The 25,268-nt window shown below is 38.6% G+C and overlaps 1 protein-coding gene across 17 annotated transcripts in view; it reads left to right on the top strand.

Annotated features, from left to right (window-relative positions):
* SYBU (syntabulin) overlaps window positions 1–25,268 on the top strand; it is a 117,623-nt gene that overhangs the window by 47,722 nt on the left and 44,633 nt on the right. For 7 of the 17 annotated variants that reach the window (NM_001099744.2, NM_001099745.2, NM_001099748.2 and 4 more), the window contains 2 exons: window positions 947–1,151; window positions 24,840–25,037. In NM_001099744.2, the coding sequence (NP_001093214.1) occupies window positions 947–1,151; window positions 24,840–25,037 (403 nt within the window). Of the gene's footprint in view, window positions 1–688; window positions 1,152–24,839; window positions 25,038–25,268 lie in introns of those variants that run through there. The other 10 variants (NM_001099743.2, NM_001099747.2, NM_017786.6 and 7 more) reach the window with 3 other exon arrangements.

Genomic DNA, 25,268 nt, shown 5'->3' with positions numbered 1-25,268 from the left:
ATTTGAATTTCGTTCTACTTCTGGCATGGTGTGCAGAATTGCCTAAGCATCTCTACCCCATTTAGCCTGTTTCCTCATCTGAAAATAGGGACATTCATTGGTGTGCTCTCTATGTACAGTCTGGTGTGTAAAGATCAAATGAGAAAATGGTTGGAAAAGCACTTTATAAGTTGGAAAACATTGTGAAAATATTACTGTTACGCATTTTTAAAACCACGAAATGGCAGGGTACTTCATGCTGCGTTTTTAAGGAGAAAGAAAAATCTCTTCTTATGGATGTCCTGTAAGGAAAACAAAAATTAAAGATGATGTAAAAGGTGGAGCCATCTTCCCGAGTATCGGATTTGTGTTTGCTTTTCTGTTGGCAACAAGCCTTGTGTACCAGGATATTAACGAATAATTAAGATCCTGTCCAGAAGAGGAGGGATTTTAAAGATAATTGTGTGTGAGCTATCAGGAAATAACTGTTCCAGGTATAGGGTTCAACTTTGTGAGGAGACAAGAAAACAAGTCAGACTGTCACAGCTAATTTAGGGAAAGCAAAATGGAAGTCTGAAGGCTATCAAGTAAGCCAGAGTGTGGTGTTAATAAAGAGCCTTTGGGAGGCAGAAGCTTGAATGTGATAGAAGTCAGGGTGGGAAGGTGAGTCAGGACCAGCATAGGGAAGTAGGATGGCCTTCCAGCTAGTGAGTGGAGGTGTGTATATGTGTGTGTGTGTGTGTGTGTGTGTGCCACACAGACATGTGCTATTCAGTAGATTAGAAAGGTTAACTCATTGGAAGAGTTTTGAAGCTCATTTCAGCAACTGAGATAAGAAGGACTACTCTGTGAAGACTCAATACTCAGAAATGTGATTTCTTAGAAATTGATCCTTGAAGGAACCGACAGGAGTTAAGAGAGGGAAACGCGTTTCCTTTTGTTTTCTTTTTTGATGTCCAATTTTGAGAAGGAGCACAGAGTGCAGCATCATGACAAGGAGATTTCTCGAAGCCGAATTCCCCGGTTGATTCTTCGGCCCCATATGCCCCAACAACAGCACAAAGTGTCCCCAGCCTCTGAGTCTCCTTTCTCTGAGGAAGAGAGCAGAGAGTTCAACCCCAGCAGCTCTGGGCGCTCAGCGAGGACCGTTAGCAGCAACAGCTTCTGCTCAGGTACAGTACCCTCGGGAGGCCACCAGAGGCGTGAAGCGTGTGCACTGCAGGTGCATTGTGAATGGGCCCATACTGGGTCCCTTATAGCCTAGAACTACACTTCTACTATTAGGATGAATTGTAGAAGGTGGTACATTTCTGGCTGTTGTGACCTACAAACACAGCAGTTTCATATAGTTCAGTTTATTGGAATCTCACACCTGAATTTTCATATGTTATTCTAGCTTATAATTTCGAATGTAAAATCTAACTTCTTGTTTCTATGACTTTTTTCCTTTGTTTTATTATACTTTAATTTCTGGGATACACGTGCAGAACATGCAGGTTTGTTACATAAGTATACACATGCCATGGTGGTTTGCTGCACCCATCAACCCATCATCTACATTAGGTATTTCTCCTAATGCTATCCCTCTCCTAGCCCCCACCCCCTGACAGGCCCTGGTATGTGATGTTCCCCTCCCTGTGTCCATGTGTTCAACTTCCACTTATGAGTGAGAACATGCGGTATTTGGTTTTCTGTTCCTCTGTTTAGTTTGCTGAGAATGATGGTTTCCAGCTTCATCCATGTCCCTGCAAAGGACATGAATTCATCCTTTTCTGTGGCTGCATAGTATTCCTTGGTGTATATGTGCCACATTTTCTTTATCCAGTCTATCATTGATGGGCATTTGGGTTGGTTCCAAGTCTTTGCTATTGTGAACAGTGCTGCAATAAACATACGTGTCCATGTGTCTTTATAGTGGAATGATTTATAATTCTTTGGATACATACCCAGTAATGGGATTGCTAGGTCAAATGGTATTTCTGGTTCTAGATCCTTGAGGAATCGCCACACTGTCTTCCACAATGGTTGAACTAATTTACACTCCCACCAACAGTGTAAAAACGTTCCTATTTCTCCACATCCTCTCCAGCATCTGTCCATTCCTGATCTTTTAATTACTGCCATTCTATGACTGTTTTTAAAGATGCATTCCTTTGTTAAATGTAGAAAAAATATTGGATTGAATTTTATACTAGCAACTTCTAGAAGCCTGTGTACCTCTAATTATAAAATTCCCCAAAGATAAAGCAATTCCTAATAAATGAGGTCAAGATCAAGGAGAGTTATAGCCTAAGGCTGGCCTGGCCTTATGGTTTAGTAGGGAAGAGCCCAGGCTTTGTGATCTGTCAAGCCTGAAGGGCTGGAATCCCTGGCCCTTTCACCACTTACATACTGTGTGACCTTCAGCAAGTTGCTTAACCTCCTTAAGCCTTAGTTGTTACATCCATAAAATGAGATTATAATACTTGCCTTGTAGAGTGGCTGTGAAGTTGAATGAGACCAGTACCTAAATGTTCACCTTACACGGTACCTGGCTTACAGAAGTGCTTAATAAATGATGGTTCTTAATACAAGGAACTATGGATGTCTGTTTGGGCACGTGATTAAGAAAGTTTCCTTAAAGTTGTGAGCATGTTTGGTAAGGGCACAAATCTCTTGATAGTTCCTGAAGGTGCCACCATTATCATTTGACAGAGCTTTTTATTCCCATTGAAGCACATGACTTAGAAGGAGTTACTTGAGAAGTATTAGGAATTTGGGTAAAATTTAAAGGAGTGACTGTCTTATGACTAGTGAAGAATGTTTCACAGTGGATAATGTTTTAGAACTTATTTAGGGAACATGGAACTTGAAGATTAACACATGTATGAGAAGAAACACATGAATCAGGATGCTATGATTAATGCTCTAATTTAGCAGGACCTAACATTCCACTGCATTTAGGGCTCACAGCTACATTTTTCAAGGATTTTATAAATGCAGCTTTGGATTTATTACATACTTCCACAAAGTTATTCTGTCCTCTGCATAAGTTGTATGTTGGAAATTCTGCACTGCCTACTTTTTTTTTTTTTTTTTTTGCTAACTAATTTTTTGCTAACAATTTGCTAATCAAATTGTCTGCTTGATTCTGAAAAAAAAAACCCTATCAAAATATTATGTTTTAAAACTTATTTCTTTATATTTGAATCACATGAATCTAGTTTAAGATGGAAACCCACTGCTGCTTTGCCTACTATTCCCCCAAGAAGAAAACAAAAGGATAACTGAGAAGCTATCACAGTTAGTATTCCTAGAATCTAGAGTCATATTTGCAGAATGTAATGCTGTTTACTTTAACTCTGTTTTGGAGCCCAGAGCTCACCCTGGTGAGTGTGGATGAACTCTGGGCACGTCATTTCAAACTGACAGAGCTTTGTGTACATAACTCAGTTCCACATTTATTCCTGGTATTCTCTCCCTGTAATCAATTCCTCTGTGAGGGATTTCAGGGTGAGTAGTGTTATCAGAAAAAAAGAAAAAGTTGTTCAAAACAACAACAAAAAAAAGGAAAACCCCAAATATATTTTAGAATATATGAAGGCAAACCAATATGATTATTGATTTTGGTTATGAATCATTCTTCCCCGGACCCACTTCCTGAATCATCCTCCTTCCTAGGAGACCTGTCTCTGGCTAAGGCTATAATGCTGTACATGAAAATCGAAAGTAGATATTGATCTTTTTGCTATTAACTAGATGAAAATTGAGTGGCAGAAGCATATAATTATGGGTGTCTCTGAACAACCTTTCAATCTTGAGCCTTGCACCCTGCCTGCAGATAGGATTTCCTCCATTCCTGGGCCTCTCCCTCATCTCTCTTCATCTTCCTGTGCTGTCAGTTCCCCAAGGTTTGAGTCTAATGCCTTTCTCTTCCTTTCCTACAGAACTCTGATAAACCCCACAAAGGCTTTTGAGTGCTGTGTAGGCTAAAATTGACAGCAGCAAGGCCTTTGGGGGCATGTTAATGATGCTTTAGGAGGCCGGTTGGTGGGTGGAAAATAAATGGGTTTGGTACTACAGGGAGTGTTAACGCTGGAGGCAGTGAGATAGAGAATGTAAGACATGTCCAACCAGCAGGGGGAAATCGCTCGTTTTAATCCAGCCACTCCAACACTGAGGCCAGAAGGTGTGTTCGTTGTTTAATCACGGCAGTTAAGTCAGAGAACAAGGTGCATACAAATATTAAAAAATACCATCCTTTACTAGAACAAAGCTAAAATAATTTAAAGGGATCTATTGTCATCATAGCTTCGCAACCTTCCAGTAATCCTCCTGTATTAGCTTCTCTTCTTTATAAATCATCACATTCACTCATGTAAAAGGGGCCATGCCTAGTTAAGGGAATTCTTACAATCTGGTAATGAAATTATAGAGGAAGGTGTCACCTCAAATGCAATGAAATTTAATTTGAAAATTACATTTTCAGAACTGCAAACTGGAGACTCTTTCCTCAAATCTATATCAAAAGCATTAATTATGAAAAGCGTCATATGTTCTAAAATTTTTACTTTTTTAAAAAAGATAATGTAATGAGCTTCATAAACATTTATAAACATTTATTTAATACAAAGAATTATACTTTATTTTGAGAATCTGGCTTTTCTATCATTTGTAATGAAACAAAAATTCATGATAGTGGATGGTAGCTATACTTCAGCAAAACAAATGTCAACTCAATGTTGATGTTTTCTCTACTCCACCCTCAAGTTTTTCTTATAATTTTACCGGCCTGTGAAATGAAAAGAATAGAACTATTTCCAAAGTGATCTGTCCATTTTTACCCACTTTCTGTTTTCCCTCCGCACTCCACTGCCTCCCTCTTGCTTTCCCATGGGAGCTTTGGCAAGGAACATTTAATGACTTGATATTCTATATGCTAATTTGTATGTTGTCTCTGCCTCATTTCAGAGGGAAGAAGTTGTGTGTGACCTTTTGCAATTCATTTGGGGTGTGTCCCCAAAGAGCTTTGTTTTTTTTAATCGCTTCTTCTTAGCGAAATTTCTTTGAAGATCTGCATGTGTTTTGTGCATTTCATCAGCACATGAGTGTTTTTGTGCTTGGACATCATTCTAGTCTTCAAACAGTATTCCTCACAGTTTGTACTCAGTCTTGGTCGCTATGACCTTAGTTGGAGACAGTTAAGTTTATACAGTATTAGAGGTCAGGCCCTATTTTATGTGCACAGCAAGTAGAACATTGTACATTATTAATAAATATTAATTAATGCTTTATTTTAAAAATACGTAAGGAAGTACAGTTAATAGGAAGTTAATAGAAACAAAACACCTCCTTTCCTGTCCCCTTTTAAAAAAAAAGTTTTTTGTTTGTTTGTTTGTTTGTTTAAACCAGCGTTTTGGCATAAAGTCAACCTGTCTTTTCTCCCCCATGTTTCTTGTTTTTAACACAAGAAGTGATAAAGCCCACATTGTTGGTTTGTGTTCTGGGTTTGGCCCATTGAATGTAGCCTCTATCCATTTTTCTCCCCCTTTTCTGTAAGTAGTGAATTGTGTTTGTTACTGTACCATGACCCTAGCCACTGTTAGAAAAGCCGATGACCTAGGTGAGTGTGTCAGGCACATACATCAGTCACCTGACATGGTTAGCAGCATGCCGTGCATTCCTCTTTGCTTAGTTGAGGCAATAATTACCCCCTTAGAACTGAGAGGCAGATGGATTGCTGGCTTTTAAGCTAGTTCTCCTTGGGGCGCCTTGTAAACATGGCAGGTGGAACAAATTATGCAGATAGAAGACTAGTTGTTTTATGGGAGAACAGTAATTTATCTGAGTTATTTTCATGTTTCTAATGTGCACACACAGATACACAGGCAAGTGTGCGACTTAACGCATTAAATACATGTACCAGGTCAATTTTTTTAAATGGTCAAAATCTGAGATTCTTTGCAGTCTAATCCCAAGTAAGGTGTTTGCAGAAAGTATTTTGTTATTTACAGTAGCTGGGAAGAAATCTTTCTTTGAGTGCCAATGACCTAGAGGTAATCATTGTTGCTGTTTGTGGCACAAGCAATTAAGGCAAATTATAACCTGACTGGTGCCCTGTTGAGGCATGACAACGCCTCCAAAAATTTGCCAGGCCTTGCCAAACAGAAATATTTCTCCTGTGCTTTTGTACAGTTGGGGAAACTTGGCATCTGGATAGAGTGAAGCTTTGAACATAATGATTAGAACTGAGATGAACTGCTTAAAGTGAAGTGAGCTGCAATTCCAAATTATACTACAGTTGAATGACTGCTACCCTCCTGTGAATTTAAAAAAAAAGACCCTATCAATTTAGTATCACTTTAATGAGACCTAGGAAATGTAGTATAATAAATATTTCAAATGCTTAGCAGCCTCACCACAGAAGCATGTACCTAATGAAATAGATTATAAACGAAAGGCATATAGGCAGTATTTCTTTGAGAATGTGGTAACTGCAATTTGCCAAGAGCAAAATTTTTGCCATTTAATCAACAATTCTTAGCAGTAGGAATGGTGAAAAGTAAACATGATGGAATTGGACTATGTCTGAAAGCAAATTAAGGTACTTAACCTGAAAATCTTTCAGGTTCTAAAACACCTGTCTTTATGAGAATGTTTTCCAATTTTAGAGTATGGTGTTTGCCTGCTTTTGAATCCTCAGTAAAACTTGTTTAAAATTCAGATACAATGGCCTTACCCCAAAACTATTGTCTTGAAATGAAAGGGCTCAGGAATCTGCATTTTACAGGCTTTCCAGATAACTCTTGTGCACACTGAAGGCTGAGCCTCACTTCTTTGTGGTCTGTGTGTATTTGGGGATTTGGTATGAGGAGTATGAGGGGTATGCCCAAAGTAGCATCACAAGATGAATAAGGATCAAAGATGGTAGAAACGGTGGCCAGCCAGGCTGTTTAAACCAGTGACCATGGGGCAAGGTGGATGTGGAATGATGCCTCCACAGTCCCTGGAAATTGTAGTTGCTGACTCTATATTTACTGGTCCCATGTCATTAGTCTTAGCCATAATATTATTTATGTCTACATAATAGGTTTAACTTGTGTTCAGATGGTAGCAAAGTAAGGAGGAGGAGAAAGAATTTCCTTTTTTATTTTCCTATTTATCCTCTTTCTGAATTTACTATATCTATACTTTTTACTATTTTGCATATTCTTTTTGTGATATTGGGATGATTTGGGGTTACGCCAAAAGGGGATATACTGATACCAAGAGTATACCCTGAACATCCAGTAGATTCACTGAAGGAGGCAGAAAGAAAAGAAGCTGAGGCCTGGAAGTGATAGGACATTCAGCCTTTTGCAAGCCTTCGCCAAAACATGTTTATTCAGTAAGCATCTTTAAATGCCTACAAAGGATCAGGAATTGTGCTTAGGCTACAAAAATGAATGATACACAGGGATTAGAAAAATCAATTGTTTTACTGCCTTAACCCTGACACTGAAATAAATGGGGTAATAAATTATCCCATCTGGATGGGATTTCCACAGTACTACTTTTACTCACCTGTGTCCCAGTCCCTTTCATTCACACCCACCCCACATACACTCCTACCTTGTAATTTGAGTTTGTTGTTCCATGTCTTATTTGCATTGGCTTCTCACATTTCATAAGCCCAAGGAAGAAAAGAAGTAACATTAATTAGTGCGGTGTAGTAGATAAACATGAGCCTTGGCATCAGCAAATTTGAGTTAAAAGCATGAAATGAGACAGAAAGGCAGGCAGGTCAGGTTATGCAAGACTTCCTATGCCATGCTCAGAACTTCTTCCATGAGCTCAAGGGTCCATACAGGAACTAGGCAAGTAATGTAAAGAGTGAGACCACCTGGATAGAAGACAACAGAGGGAACTCTAGAACTGGATATGTGTGCCATCACGAAACATATTCTGAATTTTAAAAATTCAGCTTTTAAATTCTGTGGGACAAATAGCATGTGTACATAGGTGAATATGGATCATGGGCTACCATTTTGCAATTTCTAAAGATCTTGCAGAGCCAGTGGAGGGTTTTCAGCAAGGAAGTGTTATGATCAAATTTATAATTTAGAAAGTCTTCCTATTTCTGTGTTGGACAGGGAGGGGGCAGGAGTGACTGGAGTCTGCCTGCTTTGAAGGACACTGCTGCAGTCTAAGTGAAGAACTGATAAATGACATGTGTGAGATTTGGGGCTAGAACAGATGGGTCTAGACACCAACTATAAATGGAAGGTGAAGGGGAAGGATTGTGTCTAAATCTCCACTGAATGAATAATATGGAATAGCAGGATTGGGGAGAAGGGCAGGGGGTCAAGTTAATTAGTTCATTTTAAGCTTTGTTGAATTTTAGACAAAAGTCTGGAGCCCTAAAGAAAATTCTAAGATGGTGACCAGCAGAAGTGGAGGGTTTTGATAATATTACTAGTGGGGAGTGCATGGGGAAGAAAATTAGAGGACTAGGAGAAGGACTCTGAGGTATAGCAAGAGGAGGCAGGAAAAGGAAATGAAGACACCTGAGAATGAGCATTCAGGAATAAAGCATGAGACCCAGGTGTGACAATGTCTCCACTTCCAAAGGAAAAGAGTTTCAAGAAGTAGGTAGCCAAGAGGTTTAGGTATCACCGCAAGATTAAGTAAAATGTGCATTAAACAGTGCTCAAGGATCAGACCATTAGGTTATCAGTCATCTTCAGCAGAAACAGCTGCAGCAGAAACAATTGCAGCAAATTGGTGGTGAGCAAGAGATGGGATGTATCAACCTCTCATCAACTGGGACATGAGTGAGAGGTAACAAAGTATAGACAACTTTTTTAAAGGGTTTAACTGGGATGGGGAACAGATAATAGAATAAAAACAAATATTGCATTTACAGTGAAAATCAGGTGTTTATCAAGTGGCAGGTATTTGATAAAGTTTTTGAACTGAGAAGTAAACAGCAAAGAATAAAACAGAGAGACTGAGGGAGAGAAAGATAATAACAATAGTGCAGAAGTATTAACAAGACTGAGGTAGACCAAAAAAGATACATAAATTAGAAGAAAAGAAATAAGACTGGATGTGACTACAAATAAGTATATTTATAGATCAGAGTAAGAAGCTGAAGGATTAATTTCAATGTCCAGGTTAGGTGCCCCCATCTTTATGCTTTCCACATTATCTGGTTTTAAAATTTCTTGCTTGCTTTGGCCTCCCAAAGTGCTGGGATTACAGTCACGAGCCACCATGCCTAGCCTAGTTTTAAAATTTCTTATTTGGTTACCTGATTCCCCAAGACTGTAAACCCTATGAAGGCAGGAACAATATAGTCCCCTGCACTCCTAGCATTTGCTTAGTAAGCATTTGTTGGAATTTGGTAGAAATTATGAGAACAGAACAAGTGAATAATTCTCTCATTTATGAAATATATTGAGAGCATGGCACTATCTTAGTAGTTGGGGAAATAAAGCAACTAGAAAAGTACTCAGTACTCTATTAAATAGCTTGGTTAGATGAAGAAAACATTCCTGTCCTGAGGAGTTTAGCATCTCTAAATGTCAAAAAGAGTAAGCTCCACAATAGAACCATGACTCCAGTGTTGTGGGCATCTAGAAGAGAGATCTTTTTGCTAAGAAAACCAGAAAATGCCCCACTCAAGAGCTGGCACATAAGCAAGGTTTTGAAGGTTGTGTAGGAGTTTGAGAAGCAAAGCATAAAATGGCAAAAAGAGAGATCACTGTGGGTAAAAGCAGAGTCTTAAAAGCTCAGGGAATATTTAGGGAGCAGTGAGGAGTGCTGTCTTCTCTAATTGTTATTTTTCAGTCACAAAAACCATCATAAAAACGAGCAGCCTAGATTACAATCTAAAAGGTAATTATATCCAGTTGCAGTGGCTCACACCTGTAATCCCAGCACTTTGGGAAGCCGAGGCTGGCAGGTCACTTGAGGCCAGGAGTTAGAGATCACCCTGGCCAACATCATGAAACTCCATCTCTACAAAAAATGCAAAAATTAGCTGGGTGTGGTGGCACACACCTGTAATTCCAGCTACTTGGGAGGCTGAGGCATGAGAATCACTTGAGCCCGGGAGGTGGAGGCTGCAGTGAGCCAAGATTGCGCCACTGCACTCCAGCCTGGGTGACAGAGCAAGACTTTGTCTCAAAAATAATAATAATAATAAAAAAGATAATTAGTACAGGCCACATTTTCATGTTTCCCAGGAGTCTGATTTGACACTAGTCACCACCCTACCCCACCCTCCAGGTGGTTTTTATTCTGAGAAAGCCCCAGTCTCTTCCCACTGACTAGAGCAGAAAGTGCCTCCTAACCTGGTGCCCCGGCCACTGCTGGATACAGTCTTCATGCTCTGAAGCTTCCCTGCCAGCTGCTAGGCTCCTCTGGCTCCAGCAGGAGACCTGTTATTTCAGGTTGACTGTCCCCTCTTTTTAGGGAACCCAAACCAAGTTTTCAAATGTACAGCTATGCTATCGTTGAGATCACACAGCATTCACCCATCCCACTAGAAGTCATATCCTTCAACTTTTCCCTGCTCAGTGTGGATTTTCTCTGAGCTCTGCCTCTTTACCAGCTGGCTCAGCCTTTATTCTTTTTGTGTGTGGGTGACCAGGCAGTTAGGATCACGGTTAGAGACTGACGTGACTCTCAGAATTCTTAAGACCCTCTGGATCTTAGGCTACCCTTCTATTGATTCTGGAGTGTTTATGAGGATTATATTTTCTTTAATGCTAATTATATTTTTATTTTTAAATTCAGAAGTAACAAAAACTTATCTGTTATAAAATATACAAACACATATATCAGACCGGAGCTAATCACATTTATATGATGTATTTTGTTTTGCTTTTTGCCAAAGTGAAATCATGCTATATTGATCTGTGATCCTTTCTGTTCATGAAGCAAATATTTATTGAATACTTATTGTGTGCAAGGCAGTTTTCTAGTTGCTGAGCTAGAGCAATAAACACTACCGGCATGGCTATTCCTGCCCTCAAGGAATGCATATTCCAGGCAGTACCTGTACCTGTCATTGCTTGTCAGCACAAGGAAGTCCCCCTCATTCATGGTAATGACAGCGTGGCGTGTCACTCTACAGAGGACCATAATTTATTCAAACATTCTTCTGTGGATGGACATTTTGTCTATGAGACTAAATTTCATAATTTAGAATTTTGTATTATGAATGTCACTGGAATTAGACTATATTTTTTCTTTGACTCTATTTTCTTCTTTTGTTCTTTTTTTTAAAAAAGAAGTAAATTCCATGATATAAATGTTATCTAAAACAATTCCTTTTTTCAAAATAGAAAAAACTCAGATGTAACAATTACATAAACAGTATGATGAACATTGCTTTTTCTTTATTTTTTTCCATTTTTATCCCTTACTCTATCTTGACCATTACCATGTTCAGATTCTTATTGTGAAGAAAAATGGAAAGGAAAGGAAAAGATACATTGCTACAAGACAACTCACTTTAATTCAGATGTCCTTAAAGTGATTTGTAGTTATTTTATTATAAGTTTTTCAAGAGAATAAGAACTAGCTTCTTGGGGCTGGGCACGGTGGCTCATGCCTGTAATCCCAGCACTTTGGGAGGCCAAGGCGGGCAGGTCATCTGAGGTCAGGAGTTCGAGACCAGCCTGGCCAACAGGACAAAACCCCGACTTTACTAAAATTAACCAGGCATGGTGGCGGGCGCCTGTAATTCCAGCTATTCAGGAGGCTTAGGCAGGAGAATCGCTTGAACCCTGGAGGGAGAGGTTACAGTGAGCTGAGATCGTGCCACTGTTCTCCAGCCTGGGCGACAAGAGCGAAACTCTGTCTCAAAAAAATAAAAGAAATATCTTCTTGGGCTCTGTCTCTCTGTCTCTCCTCCTCTCTTCTTCCCTTCTTGTCTTTTTAGTTCTCTTTCTTCTCCCTTTCCTTTATCTTCTCCTACCAAAGAAACTTAAAAAAAAAAACTGAGCCTTTAAAAAGGCATGGCCTAGAAACTGCAAACAAACCCATAATGCTAAGGAGAGGGAAGGTCAGAAAGATTTGTAACATGCCTATTTTGGAAAGATCATAACCGTATGAAAGAAAAAATAAGATAAAGTTCTCTTGAAAGACAAATTCACCACCCCCGTGCCAGGGCTCACCTTTCTTCTGTCAGTGATAGAGTCAGCCTCTGTTTCCCAATTTCAACACCAACTCCTCCCTCGCCAAAACCTCTAGGTAGATTCATTACTCATTCTACATTAAATATTTGGACCAAATATTTTCTCCTCCAAATTCCTGCTTCAGGGGCTGCTAGTGCAAATCAAACAACTTGATGCTTGGTAGAAACCAAGTACTCGGCCCGTGTTCCAGAGAGAGAGCACGGAGTCTTCTGCAGAAATGGAGCTTACCTCACCTGGCCCTGCATCCTCCTTTACTGCCCAGGGCTTCGCCAGAGTGACTTTTATGGGAGCACTCGAAGCTCCAAAATAGCTCAGAAATCCTGGGAATGTTTATCCGTGAAGTGATTATTTTGTCTCCAAGAAACAAGGAAGGCACTCAGTAAATAATTACTCCACTCTCCACTTTGCTTTTGTAGATGTAAGTTACATGTCTTAGTGTGAGGTGTTCATTTCAGTCACTCTGACAAGCTAATTTTCATTAGCACATACTCACTCCCCATCTATAAAGAAAAAAGAGCTCCCTTCCTTCTTTACAACTACCTTCATTTGCAAAAGACCCCCCATTTCTTTGCAACTGCCATCCTGTTTCTCTGCTCCTCTTCATGGCAAAACCTCTCCAAAATCCTGGCTCCGTAATGCGTCCTGGCGAGCACATGAGTGACCACATTGGCAAATCTAATATTCCCCTTGTCTGCCTTCATTTTCCTTGACCTCTCAGCAGCATTCAACATAATTGAACAAGCCCCACTCCTAGGAAAGATTTTCCTCCGTGGCTTCTGTGAACCGCCCCGCTGAGCGTTCCTCCTGCCTTTCAAGTCACCTTGTTGGCCTCTTCTCCTGTCCTCCCCAAGGGCTTGTATCCAGGCCTGTGTCTTTCAATGTCTCACCTGTAGGGTGATGATGCTCCAGACATCCCCCCTGGGCCCCAGGCTCACTTATCCAAGTGCCTACTTGCTATCTCCAAGGTCATGTTTAATTTGTGTCTCAAATGTAGCATAGCAAAACCAGAATTCTTGATTTCACCCCCTACACAATCATAAACCCATTTTTCTCCAATTCAGAAATGAGTGCCATATACCCACTTGTTTAAGAAAAGAACTCAGAAGGCATTATTGATCCTTTCCCATTTTTCGTTACTGTAAATAAATGCTTTCAGTTATTTTTCCAAATTTATCTCAAATATATGTACTTTTCTTAATGTTCACTACTACCACTTGGGTCAAACCACTGTTACCTCTCATTTCTATTACGGTAGTGGCCTCCAAATGGGTTTATTTGCTTCTATCCTTTCATTCTTTTTTTTTTTATTATTATACTTCAAGTTTTAGGGTACATGTGCACATTGTGCAGGTTAGTTACATATGTATACATGTGCCATGCTGGTGCGCTGCACCCACTAACTCGTCATCTAGCATTAGGTATATCTCCCAATGCTATCCCTCCCCCCTCCCCCCACCCCACGACAGTCCCCAGAGTGTGATATTCCCCTTCCTGTGTCCATGTGATCTCATTGTTCAATTCCCACCTATGAGTGAGAATATGCGGTGTTTGGTTTTTTGTTCTTGCGATAGTTTCCAGAGAATGATGATTTCCAATTTCATCCATGTCCCTACAAAGGACATGAACTCATCATTTTTTATGGCTGCATAGTATTCCATGGTGTATATGTGCCACATTTTCTTAATCCAGTCTATCATTGTTGGACATTTGGGTTGGTTCAAGTTACAAGAAAAAAACAAACAACCCCATCAAAAAGTGGGCAAAGGACATGAACAGACACTTCTCAAAAGAAGACATTTATGCAGCCAAAAAACACATGAAAAAATGCTCATCATCACCGGCCATCAGAGAAATGCAAATCAAAACCACAGTGAGATACCATCTCACACCAGTTAGAATGGCAATCATTAAAAAGTCAGGAAACCACAGGTGCTGGAGAGGATGTGGAGAAATAGGAACACTTTTACACTGTTGGTGGGACTGTAAACTAGTTCAACCATTGTGGAAGTCAGTGTGGCGATTCCTCAGGGATCTAGAACTAGAAATACCATTTGACCCAGCCATCCCATTACTGGGTATATACCCAAAGGACTATAAATCATGCTGCTATAAAGACACATGCACACGTATGTTTATTGCGGCATTATTCACAATATCCTTTCATTCTTAAAGGAGCCATGCAACATAGTGGTTAACAAAGAGGCTCTGGTGTTAGCTTGTCTGGATTCATACTACACTCTGCCACTTACTGATTACAAGCTTGAACAGGTGGCGTAAACACTAGTGCCAGTTTTGTATGACCCCTGCCAATCAGGATGACAACAGTGCTTATCTCAGAGGGATATTAGATTAAGTTAGTTAAGATTTGTGTTTAAGAACAGTGTTTAGAAGTGAAGTGAAGTGTTTAGAACAGTGCTTGGTAGTTAATAGGCACTCAGTAAATATTAGCTAGATATATTATCACTGATTTGGTCTGTTCTCCATTATAAGCACAGGCTAAATTTTTGTTATCTCATGCATAGTGCACACTGCAGTTTCTGTTGCACTTCCAATAAACGTCAAGATTCCTGACCTAAAATTCTTCACTACTTGGGCTTCTGCATCCCTTTGCCCTCATCATCATTCTCTCCCCATCACCCTTCCTCTCTTTGGTTTCCATAATGCACCATATTCCTGCCTATCTCAGAGCTTTTTGTACTTATTTCTCTGTATCTGGAATTCTTTTCCTTGTTTTTCCTGCCTTTTGTGTGATTATTTCCTTCTCATTTTTTTTTGGTTTAGGGTCAAAAGACCTCTTCAGGAGCCTTCTATGACAATATATCTAATGAAGTAGCTTCCCACCTCCCACCTAGTCTACATAATATCATCGAGTATACTTCATTAACAGTAAATCCCAAATATCTTTTTTTTTTGAGACGGATGTCACTCTGTCACCCAGACTGGAGTGCAGTGGCACGACCTCAGCTCACTGCAGCCTTGACCTCCTGGGTGTGAGCAATCCTCCCACTTCAGGCTCCTGCATAGCCGGGACTATAGACATGACCAGCTAACTTTAAAAAAAAAAATCTTTTTGTAGATATGAGGGTCTCTGGCTGGGTGCAGCCGCTCATGCCTATTATCCCAGGACTTTGAAAGGCTGAGGTGGAAGGATCACTTGAGCCCAGGAGTTGGAGACCAGCCTGGGCAACATAGTGAGATCCTATTTACAAAAAAAGAAAAAGAAAAAGAAAAAATTAGCCAGCTGTTGTGGCACACATCTTTGGTCCCAGTTAAATGGGAGCCTGAGGTGGGAGAATCACCTGAGCCCAGGAGGTGGGGGCTGCAGTGATCCTGATTGCTACACTTCAGCCTGGGTGACAGAGTGAGACCCTGTCTCAAAAAAAAAAAAAAGAGATGTGGTTTCCCCACATTTCCCAGGCTGGTCTCAAACTCCTGTCCTCAAGCTATCCTCTCACCTTGGCCTCCCAAAAGTGCTGGGATTACATGAGCTGTCACTACCACACCTGGCCCCAAAACATCTTTTTATGTATTTTTTAACTTATTAACTGTTTCTCCTCATCACTAGAATGTGAACTTGTTAAGAACAAGGATCTTAGTGTCTCACTCATCATTACCTCCCTAATATCTAGAACAATACCTGACACATGTAGGAAATCAATAATTATTTGTAGAGAAAAATAAGTGGATGAATGGATGAGATTTATACACTTCAACATCAGCCACTGGTTAGTGACATATTGTATAATACTGAAGCATATTTTAGAGCTCTGTACATCTCTGAGTTCCCACTACAAAAAGATGCTAAAATTGGGTGAAGGAATAGAAATGCAAGGTTTGCTGTTGAAAACCTAGAATTCAAAATTATCAGAATGGCACACGTTTTATATGGCTACATGTGTTGAGGCAGGAATACTGGAAACAACTAGAAAGAGTTTCTTGCCTCCAATTTCTGTGGTCTGTTTATTATGGGATGGCTTCTTTCTAACAGCTTCCTTTGTCTGTTTTTAATTTGGGCATTCCCAGAATTGCTGATGTTTCCTCTTGGAACAAACATAACTTGAAAATTTTAGAAAACAGCTAGCTTATGGTGGTGAGTAAAACAGGCAGTTTGTCAGACAAACCTTACTTTGAATCCTGAGTCAATTGCCCAGCAGCTCTGTGCCCATGAAATTTTTAACCTCTCTGAGCCTCCATTTTCCCAACAGTAACATATTATTAAAATTATATGATAATAATTAATGTGTTTGCCACATGATAAGTACTTAATAAATGTTAGTTTTCTTGCCTTATAAATGCACCGAAAGGTATGTGGTAAGAATTTCACCTGGTTTATATTTATCATGAGTTTAAGCTGTGACACTTTATCTGTCTCCATTAAACTATCTTCAAAAATGCCAGTATCTGGAGCAATAAGCATAATAAGAGCTATATTAGTGTCTGACACATAGTAGATATTCAATAAATATTTGTTGAACAGATGAATAAGTAGTCAGTAAATGCTTCCATTGTTCATGAGAATCAACTAGATTTCCATATAGTTTAAAATAATGTTTCTTTAAACTAGCAATAACTTCCCCCCCACAAAAATTATACAACTGAACATCGAACAGAATCAAACCATAACTGAATGTTTCAAGACATTATGGCACAAAATCATATTTTCCTCCATTAATGTTTTTAAGTGTCTTCTGGAATTGTTTAGTTCAACATTTTTGAAAGCCAGTGGGCTCTGAGATCTAAATTCAAAAAGGAGCCAGCAGTTTTAGAGATGCTTCTTGGACTTTGAAGAAATATTTTATTAATGGTTGTAATTTTTAGAGCTTGGTGTTTTATTCTTACCTGTAATCGGTGTAAGAAGATTATTTTTGAGACAGGGTCTTATTCAGACACCCAGGCTGGAGTGCAGTGGTGCAATCGTGGCTCACTGCAACCTCCGCTGGGACTACAGGTATGCACTATCATGCCCAGCTAATTTTTGTAGTTTTTGTAGAGACTAGGTTTCACCATGTTTCCTAGGCTGGTCTCAAACTCCTGGGTTCAAGGGATCTGCCAGCCTCAGCTAGAAGATTTTAGTAGGGACTTGGTCATCATAATTGCCACCAAATTTGTTTGATGGCACTGGTTTTTAGGCATTTTTGTTTAATTATCAAGAAAGTTTATGATACGCACATGCACACTTTGGGCAATCTAATATTTTGAAATATATAAATGAATTATGCAAAAAGTATTTATTGCTTTCAAATTTTCATCATAAAAGCATTGCAAAGTAATGTGGTAGACTTCCTTAAAATTGCAATATTAATAATAAAGTTAGCATCTAACCCTCATGCCATATTTTAAAATGGATTCCAGATAGATTTAATTTAAATGAAAGTGAAACTATAAATATCTAGGAGAAAGTACAGGCAAATATTTAGTTGATCTTTGAATAATAAAAACATTCTAAGCATAAAAGTATTGGAAGAAATCACAAAGGAACGTATGGAGAGATTTGACAGAATAGAGCAAGGTTTGAATGTCAAAAACATTATCAAGTCAAAAGCAAACAAAAGGGTTGATGCTTTTAACATATAAAGAGTTCTTACAGATCAGTAAGAAAACCTGAACTTCCAAACAGAAAAATTATCAAGGACTTGAACAATTCATAGAATAAATTTAAAAGGTCAATGAACATACAAAGACATTGAGCTTCACAAACAATTAAATACATGTAAATTAAGACATCAAAATTTGTTTTTAATTAACTTTAAGAAATGTAAACCAAATAATATTTAGTACTGGCAGGTATTTAATAAGTGGAGTATGTTCATACAATAATAGGAATATAAGTTGTCTCAAACTTCTTGGAAGTTTTAGTAATTCCACTACACATACATTTTATGAGCTCATCAAAGATTTGACCAAGGATGTATCTATAAAATGTGTAGTAAAGCAATTTTAATAACAGTGAGAAAAATTAAAACAAACTAATTCTTCCTACAAGAAGGATTGGTCTTTAAAAATCCTATGTTTGGCTGGGCGCAGTGACTCACACCTGTAATCCCAGCATTTTGGGAGCCAAGGTGGGAGGACCACTTAAGTTCAGGAGTTTGAGACCAGCCTGGCCAACAAAGCAAGATTCTGTCCCTTAAAAAAAATTAAAAATAAGCTGAACACAGTGACCTAAGCCTGTAGTTCCAGCTGCTAGGGAGGCTGAGGTGGAATAATCACGTGAGCCAGGAGTTGGAGTCTGCAGTGAGGTATGATTGTTCCACTGTACTCCAGCCTGGGCAACAGAGCGAGACTCTGTCTGAAAATAAACAAACACATTTTAAAAGTGATGTTTATATCTATTTTAAATCAGCACTCCTTTAAAATAATGTTTTCAAGAAATCAAATAAAATACTTTGAAACTTTTAAAAAGCATACTCAAAAACAGAGAATAGTGCAGTGAACTCTCATGTGCTTATTACCCACTTATCTAGATTAAATGATAGCAGGATATTCCTGTATTTGTTATGTCTCTTTTCTTTGTGGAAACATTTTAAAGCAAATCTCCAGACATCATGTCATTTCTTGTCTACCAACATACCTCAGCATGCATAACTTTTTTTTTTAAAAAAAGCACATTTTCTTACGTAATCACAGTGCCCTTTTCATTTCTAACATGATTAACATAATTCCTTGGTATGACAGAGAATGATGAAATATCCCAGATTTTCTCAAAAGTGCCTATTTGCTTCCCTGGTATCATTTAACCCAGAAATCAACAAACTTTTTCTATAAAGCGCCAGATAGCAAATATTTTTTATTTCATTGGCTAGATGGCCACTGATGCAATTACTCAACTCTCTGCCATTGTAGCCTTGAAAGCCACCATAGACAATATATAAAGGATTGGGCATGGCTGTGTTCCAATAACAATTTATTTACAAAAAACAGTGGACCAAATTTGCCCTGCAGGCTGCAGTTTGCCAATCTCTAATTTAACTCATTATTCTATTTTCTATATATTTCATAAGGTGAACATTAGCTTTAAAGCCTTGATTGGATTTGGGGGCAATTGTGTGTTTGTGTGTGGCAAGAATTCTTCATAGGGAGTGCTGCATGCCTCATATCACATCCCATCAGAGGGGTTTTCCCACTGTTGGCGATGGGAAGAAGACTCGATGGGTGCATTTGGGTAAGGCCTGATCCCTCCACTGTAAACTCTCCATTAGACTTTGTCTAGTGGTTTTATCTATTACATTTGCTGCCTAAATCAATTATTTCATTCGAGGTTGCAAAATAGCAATTTTCTATTTCTGTTATTCCATCTGTTTTCATTAACCAGAATGCTTTTGTAAGGACAAACTTTCCAATAACAATGAGGGATTTCAGTTACACTGAGATACAGTTTATATAGGAACACTTTTTACAATAAAAATATATGCTAATTCTTTCCTTTTAATTGCCAATTTTCAATATAAAGAATTGTTCGTGGATAATTTCCAGTGATTTCCAGGGAGTTGGGCATTTTGGGGGTGAAAGGGGCCTTTCTCTATCTCTGTAATGTGTTTTTTTATATGACCATGAACTCAGTTTTTTTTATATATCCAGTGATTATCAGTCACTTGCATTTATTATTCTTTTTGGTACTCAAATTATTTCATTGTTGACCAATGGGGCCTCCTTTGTGTTGGTTCCCATTAGTCTTTAATAGCTTCTTTCTTTCTAGCCTAGCAAGTTCCAGGGAGAAATTTTCAATGACAGATAATGAAACTGTCTAAAATATATGTTGAAAATTTGATAAAACAAAAAGCAAACAGGCAAGCAAACTGTATTCACAAAATATTTTTCTGGGTAACACAATTATAGGAGAATAGTATGTCTTTATTTTATTCTTTACTTCTTTATACTCTTCTGTATTTCAGATTTCACACAATAAGAATTATGGGTTTATAATTAAAAAGTTAAGCTAAAATTTTAACAACCTCAACAGATTTAATTTAATTTAGCAAGTACATTTAAAATGAGATTCAAAGTATTTTTAAAGAACTTAGGCACATATTTTTCAGAATTATAAGTAATTACATAATTATTAACTATATCCTATATTTCAAAGACCTTATAATGTAAAGAGAGAGGAAATATAGATTTTTAAAATCATTTTTTAACAACATTTAGGCTACAAAATTGTAATAGTTGCTGGTTTTTCGCATCTGTCTTTATAGACCTTAGCATGTTTTTTATTTTCTTGATGACAATCTGGAAACTATTCCATTCCATAGACATATATTTTTAACAGTACTTTAGATAGCCCACAACCTCTGAGGTTCCTGGATCTGTGAGTATTCTTTCTACTACCCTTAATCCTGTGTGTTCACCAATTTTAAGCAAATGAACAAGAACAACAACAAAAGAACTGATTTCTAATAAAATCAAGGAGGACATGTAAATTAGTCTCCTTCACTTAGAAGGTGATCATTTAGATGTGGCCTTGAGGAGGGTAATGTTTACCTGAGTTCCACCAGAGGCTATCTTGGACCCGTCTAAGGAGGATTTAAAATAGCAGCCCCTGGAAGGAAATTGTCCCATATTTTCAAGTGGATCACACTGTATAAAGCATGTAAAGTGATCCCATGTTTTTTAGGTAAAGTTATACCTACTTTGAATAATGAAGAAAGAAATGTAAAAACTCAACTATGTAAGAGGGGTGTGCGTTTGTGTGTGTGTGTGTGTGCGCGCGCGCACGCTCCTGTGATGTAAATTCCTCTCTCTGTAATGGACCAACAGTCTTCTACATCTTCTTCCCTAAAACCTTGGCGCAAAGCTTCCCTGTGGCAAAACCAGACTAAAATGTTCATAGTTTTGTCAGGCCTTCTTCTGGAAATGTGGAACATCCCACACTTTGGGGGCACATTATTCAGTATTTCTGCAATTTCGTGCCCAGAAACAGTTTTCTCATATTAGAAATCTTTGTCATTGATAATTTCTTTATATTAACATAACTTATAAAAGCTAAAAATATATAAATCTATAGATTGTACAGGAAAATTCAGCAGTCAGGTAGCAGAAGAAAACAGAAGGCACATTCCCATAGTTTAACTGAAGCAGGTTTAATAAATAAATCTCTTTAATATGTGCTTGGTCCACATGTAGTTTAGTATGGTAAGATTAGATATAAACAACCAAAGAACATCAGCTTGGCTTTACTATTCTCAGAATCTCAGAGTAAATGTGGCCAGGCACGCTGGCTCATACCTATAATCCCAGCACTTTGAGAGGCTGAGGCAGGCAGATCACTTGAGGCCAGGAGTTCAAGGCGAGCCTGGCCAACATGGAGAAACCCCATCTCTACTAAAAATACAAAAATTAGCTGAGTTTGGGTGGTACATGCTTGTAATCCCAGCTACTCAGGAGGCTGAGGCAGGAGAATCACTTGAACCCAGGAGGTGGCATCTGCAGTGAGCCAAGATCACACCACTGCACTGCAGCCTAGGCGACAGAGCGAGACTCTGTCTTAAAAAGATAGATAGATAGATAGATGATAGATAGATAGATAGATAGATAGATAGATAGATAGATAGATACTCATATTATTTTATTGTTTAATGAAGCAGAAGTCATTTAAGTCTTGAAAAAAAAAGAATCTCAGATAAATGGGAACTAAGAATATTTTTCATAGAATTTTGAAAAGGAGTGTTATCTTCATTTGAACTGGTGGTCAGCTTCCAACCGGCCATGAAGAGGAAGAAAGGAGGAGGGAGAGCAGAGAAGGAGCCCTAAATAAGACTTGTAAAGATAACTTCTTCTTCAGTGCTGCACAAAGAAAAATACCTCAGGTTACTCCCTAGCACATGAAGCTCTGTGCCTTTGCTGGGGTCTTACTTTGCATAGATAAAGTGTGCCCTCTGTAGTAGGAAAATTCATGGCCCTGCCCTTTCTAGATTCCTTTGTTAGTGTCGGGTGCATTAGACAAAACAGGCAAATGCCCCAGGCTTCTTCCATAACCCACAGATTTTCTTGGATATGGATTAACTTTATCAGACTTGCCAGTTTACAATAACTATGCATTGTAAGTGACATATACCCAGATCCTTTTGGCTTATTTATAAACTCCACCAGGGTGGGGCCTGGGTACAATGCCTGTGGGCTGGTTCAGTGCCAGGACTTGATACATATTCATTTAACCAATGAAAGACCATGTCTTATATTCCTAGTATTGCCCCCCCAACACACACCATATGAAGCACAAGAGTAGAGAGTTAAGAGATCTTTTTGTAGTGGTTTAAATCCTGTAAGATGGATCCAAAGTTCAGGATGTATTTAGGTTTGAATTTTCTCATTCCCTGCTTCTGGAGATCCTGGCTGTAAATACTGATGACAGGTGAGGCATCACACTCCAGGTTAAAAATTGCTACTGCCTCTTACACACTGCCACCACTCTAAATAATTTCAGTTCTCAAATTTTAACCAGACCCCAGCACTTAATCCTTGAAAGGACTAGCACTGAAAACATGGTGTGCACACATTCTTTCTCATTTAACTTCAGAAAAATGTAATAGAACCCAAGGTATGATTTTGATAGCATTTCTCAATGCTGGAAATTGTTTAATTTTATCCCTGTGAGTCTGAGAGTTTTCAGGAAAACTGAGTTTTTTAGGTTAGACACTCTGAAGCACAGATTTTTATTTTGTGGGGACATCTCTCTTTCAAAAGAAGTGATTTATGGAACTGACTCATAAGGAAATAATGTTAAAGACAGCATGGAATGTTGAATGATTAGATTTCATTCATTTATCTGCTTTGGGATAGGAATTAAGAGAGGCTCTCTTGAGGCATTGTGCAGACCTGTTGTGCCTTGTAAAATTGCTGGAATCTGTGTCTGAGTAATTAGCAACTTTACACCTTTAAAAAGGAGCTCAAATATCTTTGGGTTGAAGCCTGGGGTGTGTAAGTGTAAGGGAAAGGCAAGGGCAGTGAATGATGAAAGAGCTGAGCAACAGCCACCAAGAAGGGTTCTCATCACCCTGTTATTCAGGGCCAGAGTTTCTTCAGGAGTTCAGGAAGAACGCAACGTATTTAAAAGAGCCCGAAGACTGCAGGCATGAGCAGCACCCTAAAAACCATTCACTTCCAGAAACAGACCACAGAGGTCCTGCGTATGCTGATAGACCAAAAAGTCAAAACACGATTATCAAGAGAAATAAGTCATTTTATTAGTGCCAAGTTCACTCTGTTCCAGGAATTGAGATATTTTGTAATTGAAAAATGAAATAAAGGCCAAAAAATGAAGCAATGGTAATTCTTTCTTTAGATGGATTCTAGCAATCAGCATGTTTTATTCAGGCTTAGTTCTGTTTCTATCTTTATTCAAGCTGTAGAGTTTTAAGATAGCCTTTGGTAGATGGCACATTATTTTAGTTCCCGTAATATTCACAAGATGTCTGAAAAGTTATTAGTACTGAATGTCTTTATTTGTTCTTTGTCTAATGAGTTACTAAAGTAACTCTGGCATCAAAACATCTTCATATAATAAAGATTATTTAGTAAAGTAAATTTACCACTAACTGATCAGTTTGAGTAGATGTACTTTTAAGTAATACTGATTTGGCTTTGAGGTCCAATACAGTTCTGCTCATCAAAATATAAATAAATTAACCAACTATCCTAAGTACTTTAATAAATGTGGAACGCATTTATAGGAGTCAGCAGTATGACTTTCCTGTTTCCATAATAAGCATCTATGTAGGTCACTTCATATCGTGCATATTAACTTAATATAATCACCCTGGTAATAATCTGTTATTTGAAAGTTAAAGGAACATTTCTAGTCTAAAAATCATTTTCATCTTACCAGTTTACTCCAGATAGCAATATATCTGATTTATGTATTTTTGGTTGTGTGTGTATGATAAAACAGGATCACTTCACACTGCTTCTTTGAACCCTAAAGTCGGATGACTTATCTTTCAAACTCTGTTAACCAATTGATGGGTCAAGTGATCCAAAACTGGATGTGGTCAATAATATTCAAGTAATTTTATTTTCCAGATGTAAACTCTGAAGAGTTCACCCTAAAGATCCTGAATTGTTCTGGTGAACTTCTTATTACTAAACACATCCAAAAATCTATGGACACATATGACCCAAAAATACACTATATAAAGTGTTGAAACAGACATGTCTTTATGTTTTGACAAAATGAGTGTTACAGAAATATTTGTGTCAAAAAGCTTACAAGGGGCCGGGCATGGTAGCTCATGATTGTAATCCCAGCACTTTGGGAGGCTGAGGCAGATGGATCGCTTGAGGCCAGGAGTTTGAGACCAGCCTGGCCAACATGGTGAAACCCTGTCTGTACTAAAATACACACAAAAAATACCCGGGCCTGGTGGCATACGTCTGTAATCCCAGCTACTTGGGAGGCTGAGGCACGAGAATTGCTTGAACCTGGGATGTGGAGGTTGCAATGAACTGAGATCACGCCGCTGCACTTCAGCCTGGGTGACACAGTGAGACTGTCTCAAAAAAAAAAAAAGGTTTTGCATTAAAATATGGAAAAATGAAAGGAGCGTCATGAGAGGAGAGTCCACAGCAGTTAACCTGGGCTTCATAAGCAGAGTGTACGTGTGCGAGTGCACGTGTGCGTGTGTGTGGTGCACCGCATGGCTTCTCACCATCATTGATTTCCTCCTCATCATTAAACACTTATTGATTCCTGTCTTCTAGATGACACAGGCTGTCCTAGCAGCCAGTCAGTGTCTCCTGTGAAGACACCCTCAGATGCTGGAAACAGCCCCATTGGCTTTTGCCCTGGAAGTGATGAAGGCTTCACCAGAAAGAAATGCACGATTGGAATGGTTGGTGAAGGAAGCATTCAGTCCTCTCGATATAAGAAGGAATCAAAGTCAGGCCTTGTGAAACCAGGTCAGTGAACTTACTCGTCATGTTTTCATCAGAACAATGTGATGGGAGTAGTTTCATGTTTAAAACTAAACACCTGTATATCGAGTCGGGGATCACAAATACCGTACCCAGCATCTAAAGCATCATTTTTAAAGGAGGCAGGGTGGAAAGTGGACTATTTTCTGAAATGGTTTTTAATAACTGAGTAACTATAGTGACCTATAGTGACATGTGTATTCATTATAAAGAGCT

This window comes from Homo sapiens, chromosome 8 (genome assembly GCF_000001405.40).
Source record: "Homo sapiens chromosome 8, GRCh38.p14 Primary Assembly".
In the NCBI taxonomy this organism is placed as follows: domain Eukaryota; kingdom Metazoa; phylum Chordata; class Mammalia; order Primates; family Hominidae; genus Homo; species Homo sapiens.
The sequence above is the reverse complement of the archived record's forward strand: the minus strand, read 5'-3'. Positions and strand labels throughout refer to the sequence as shown.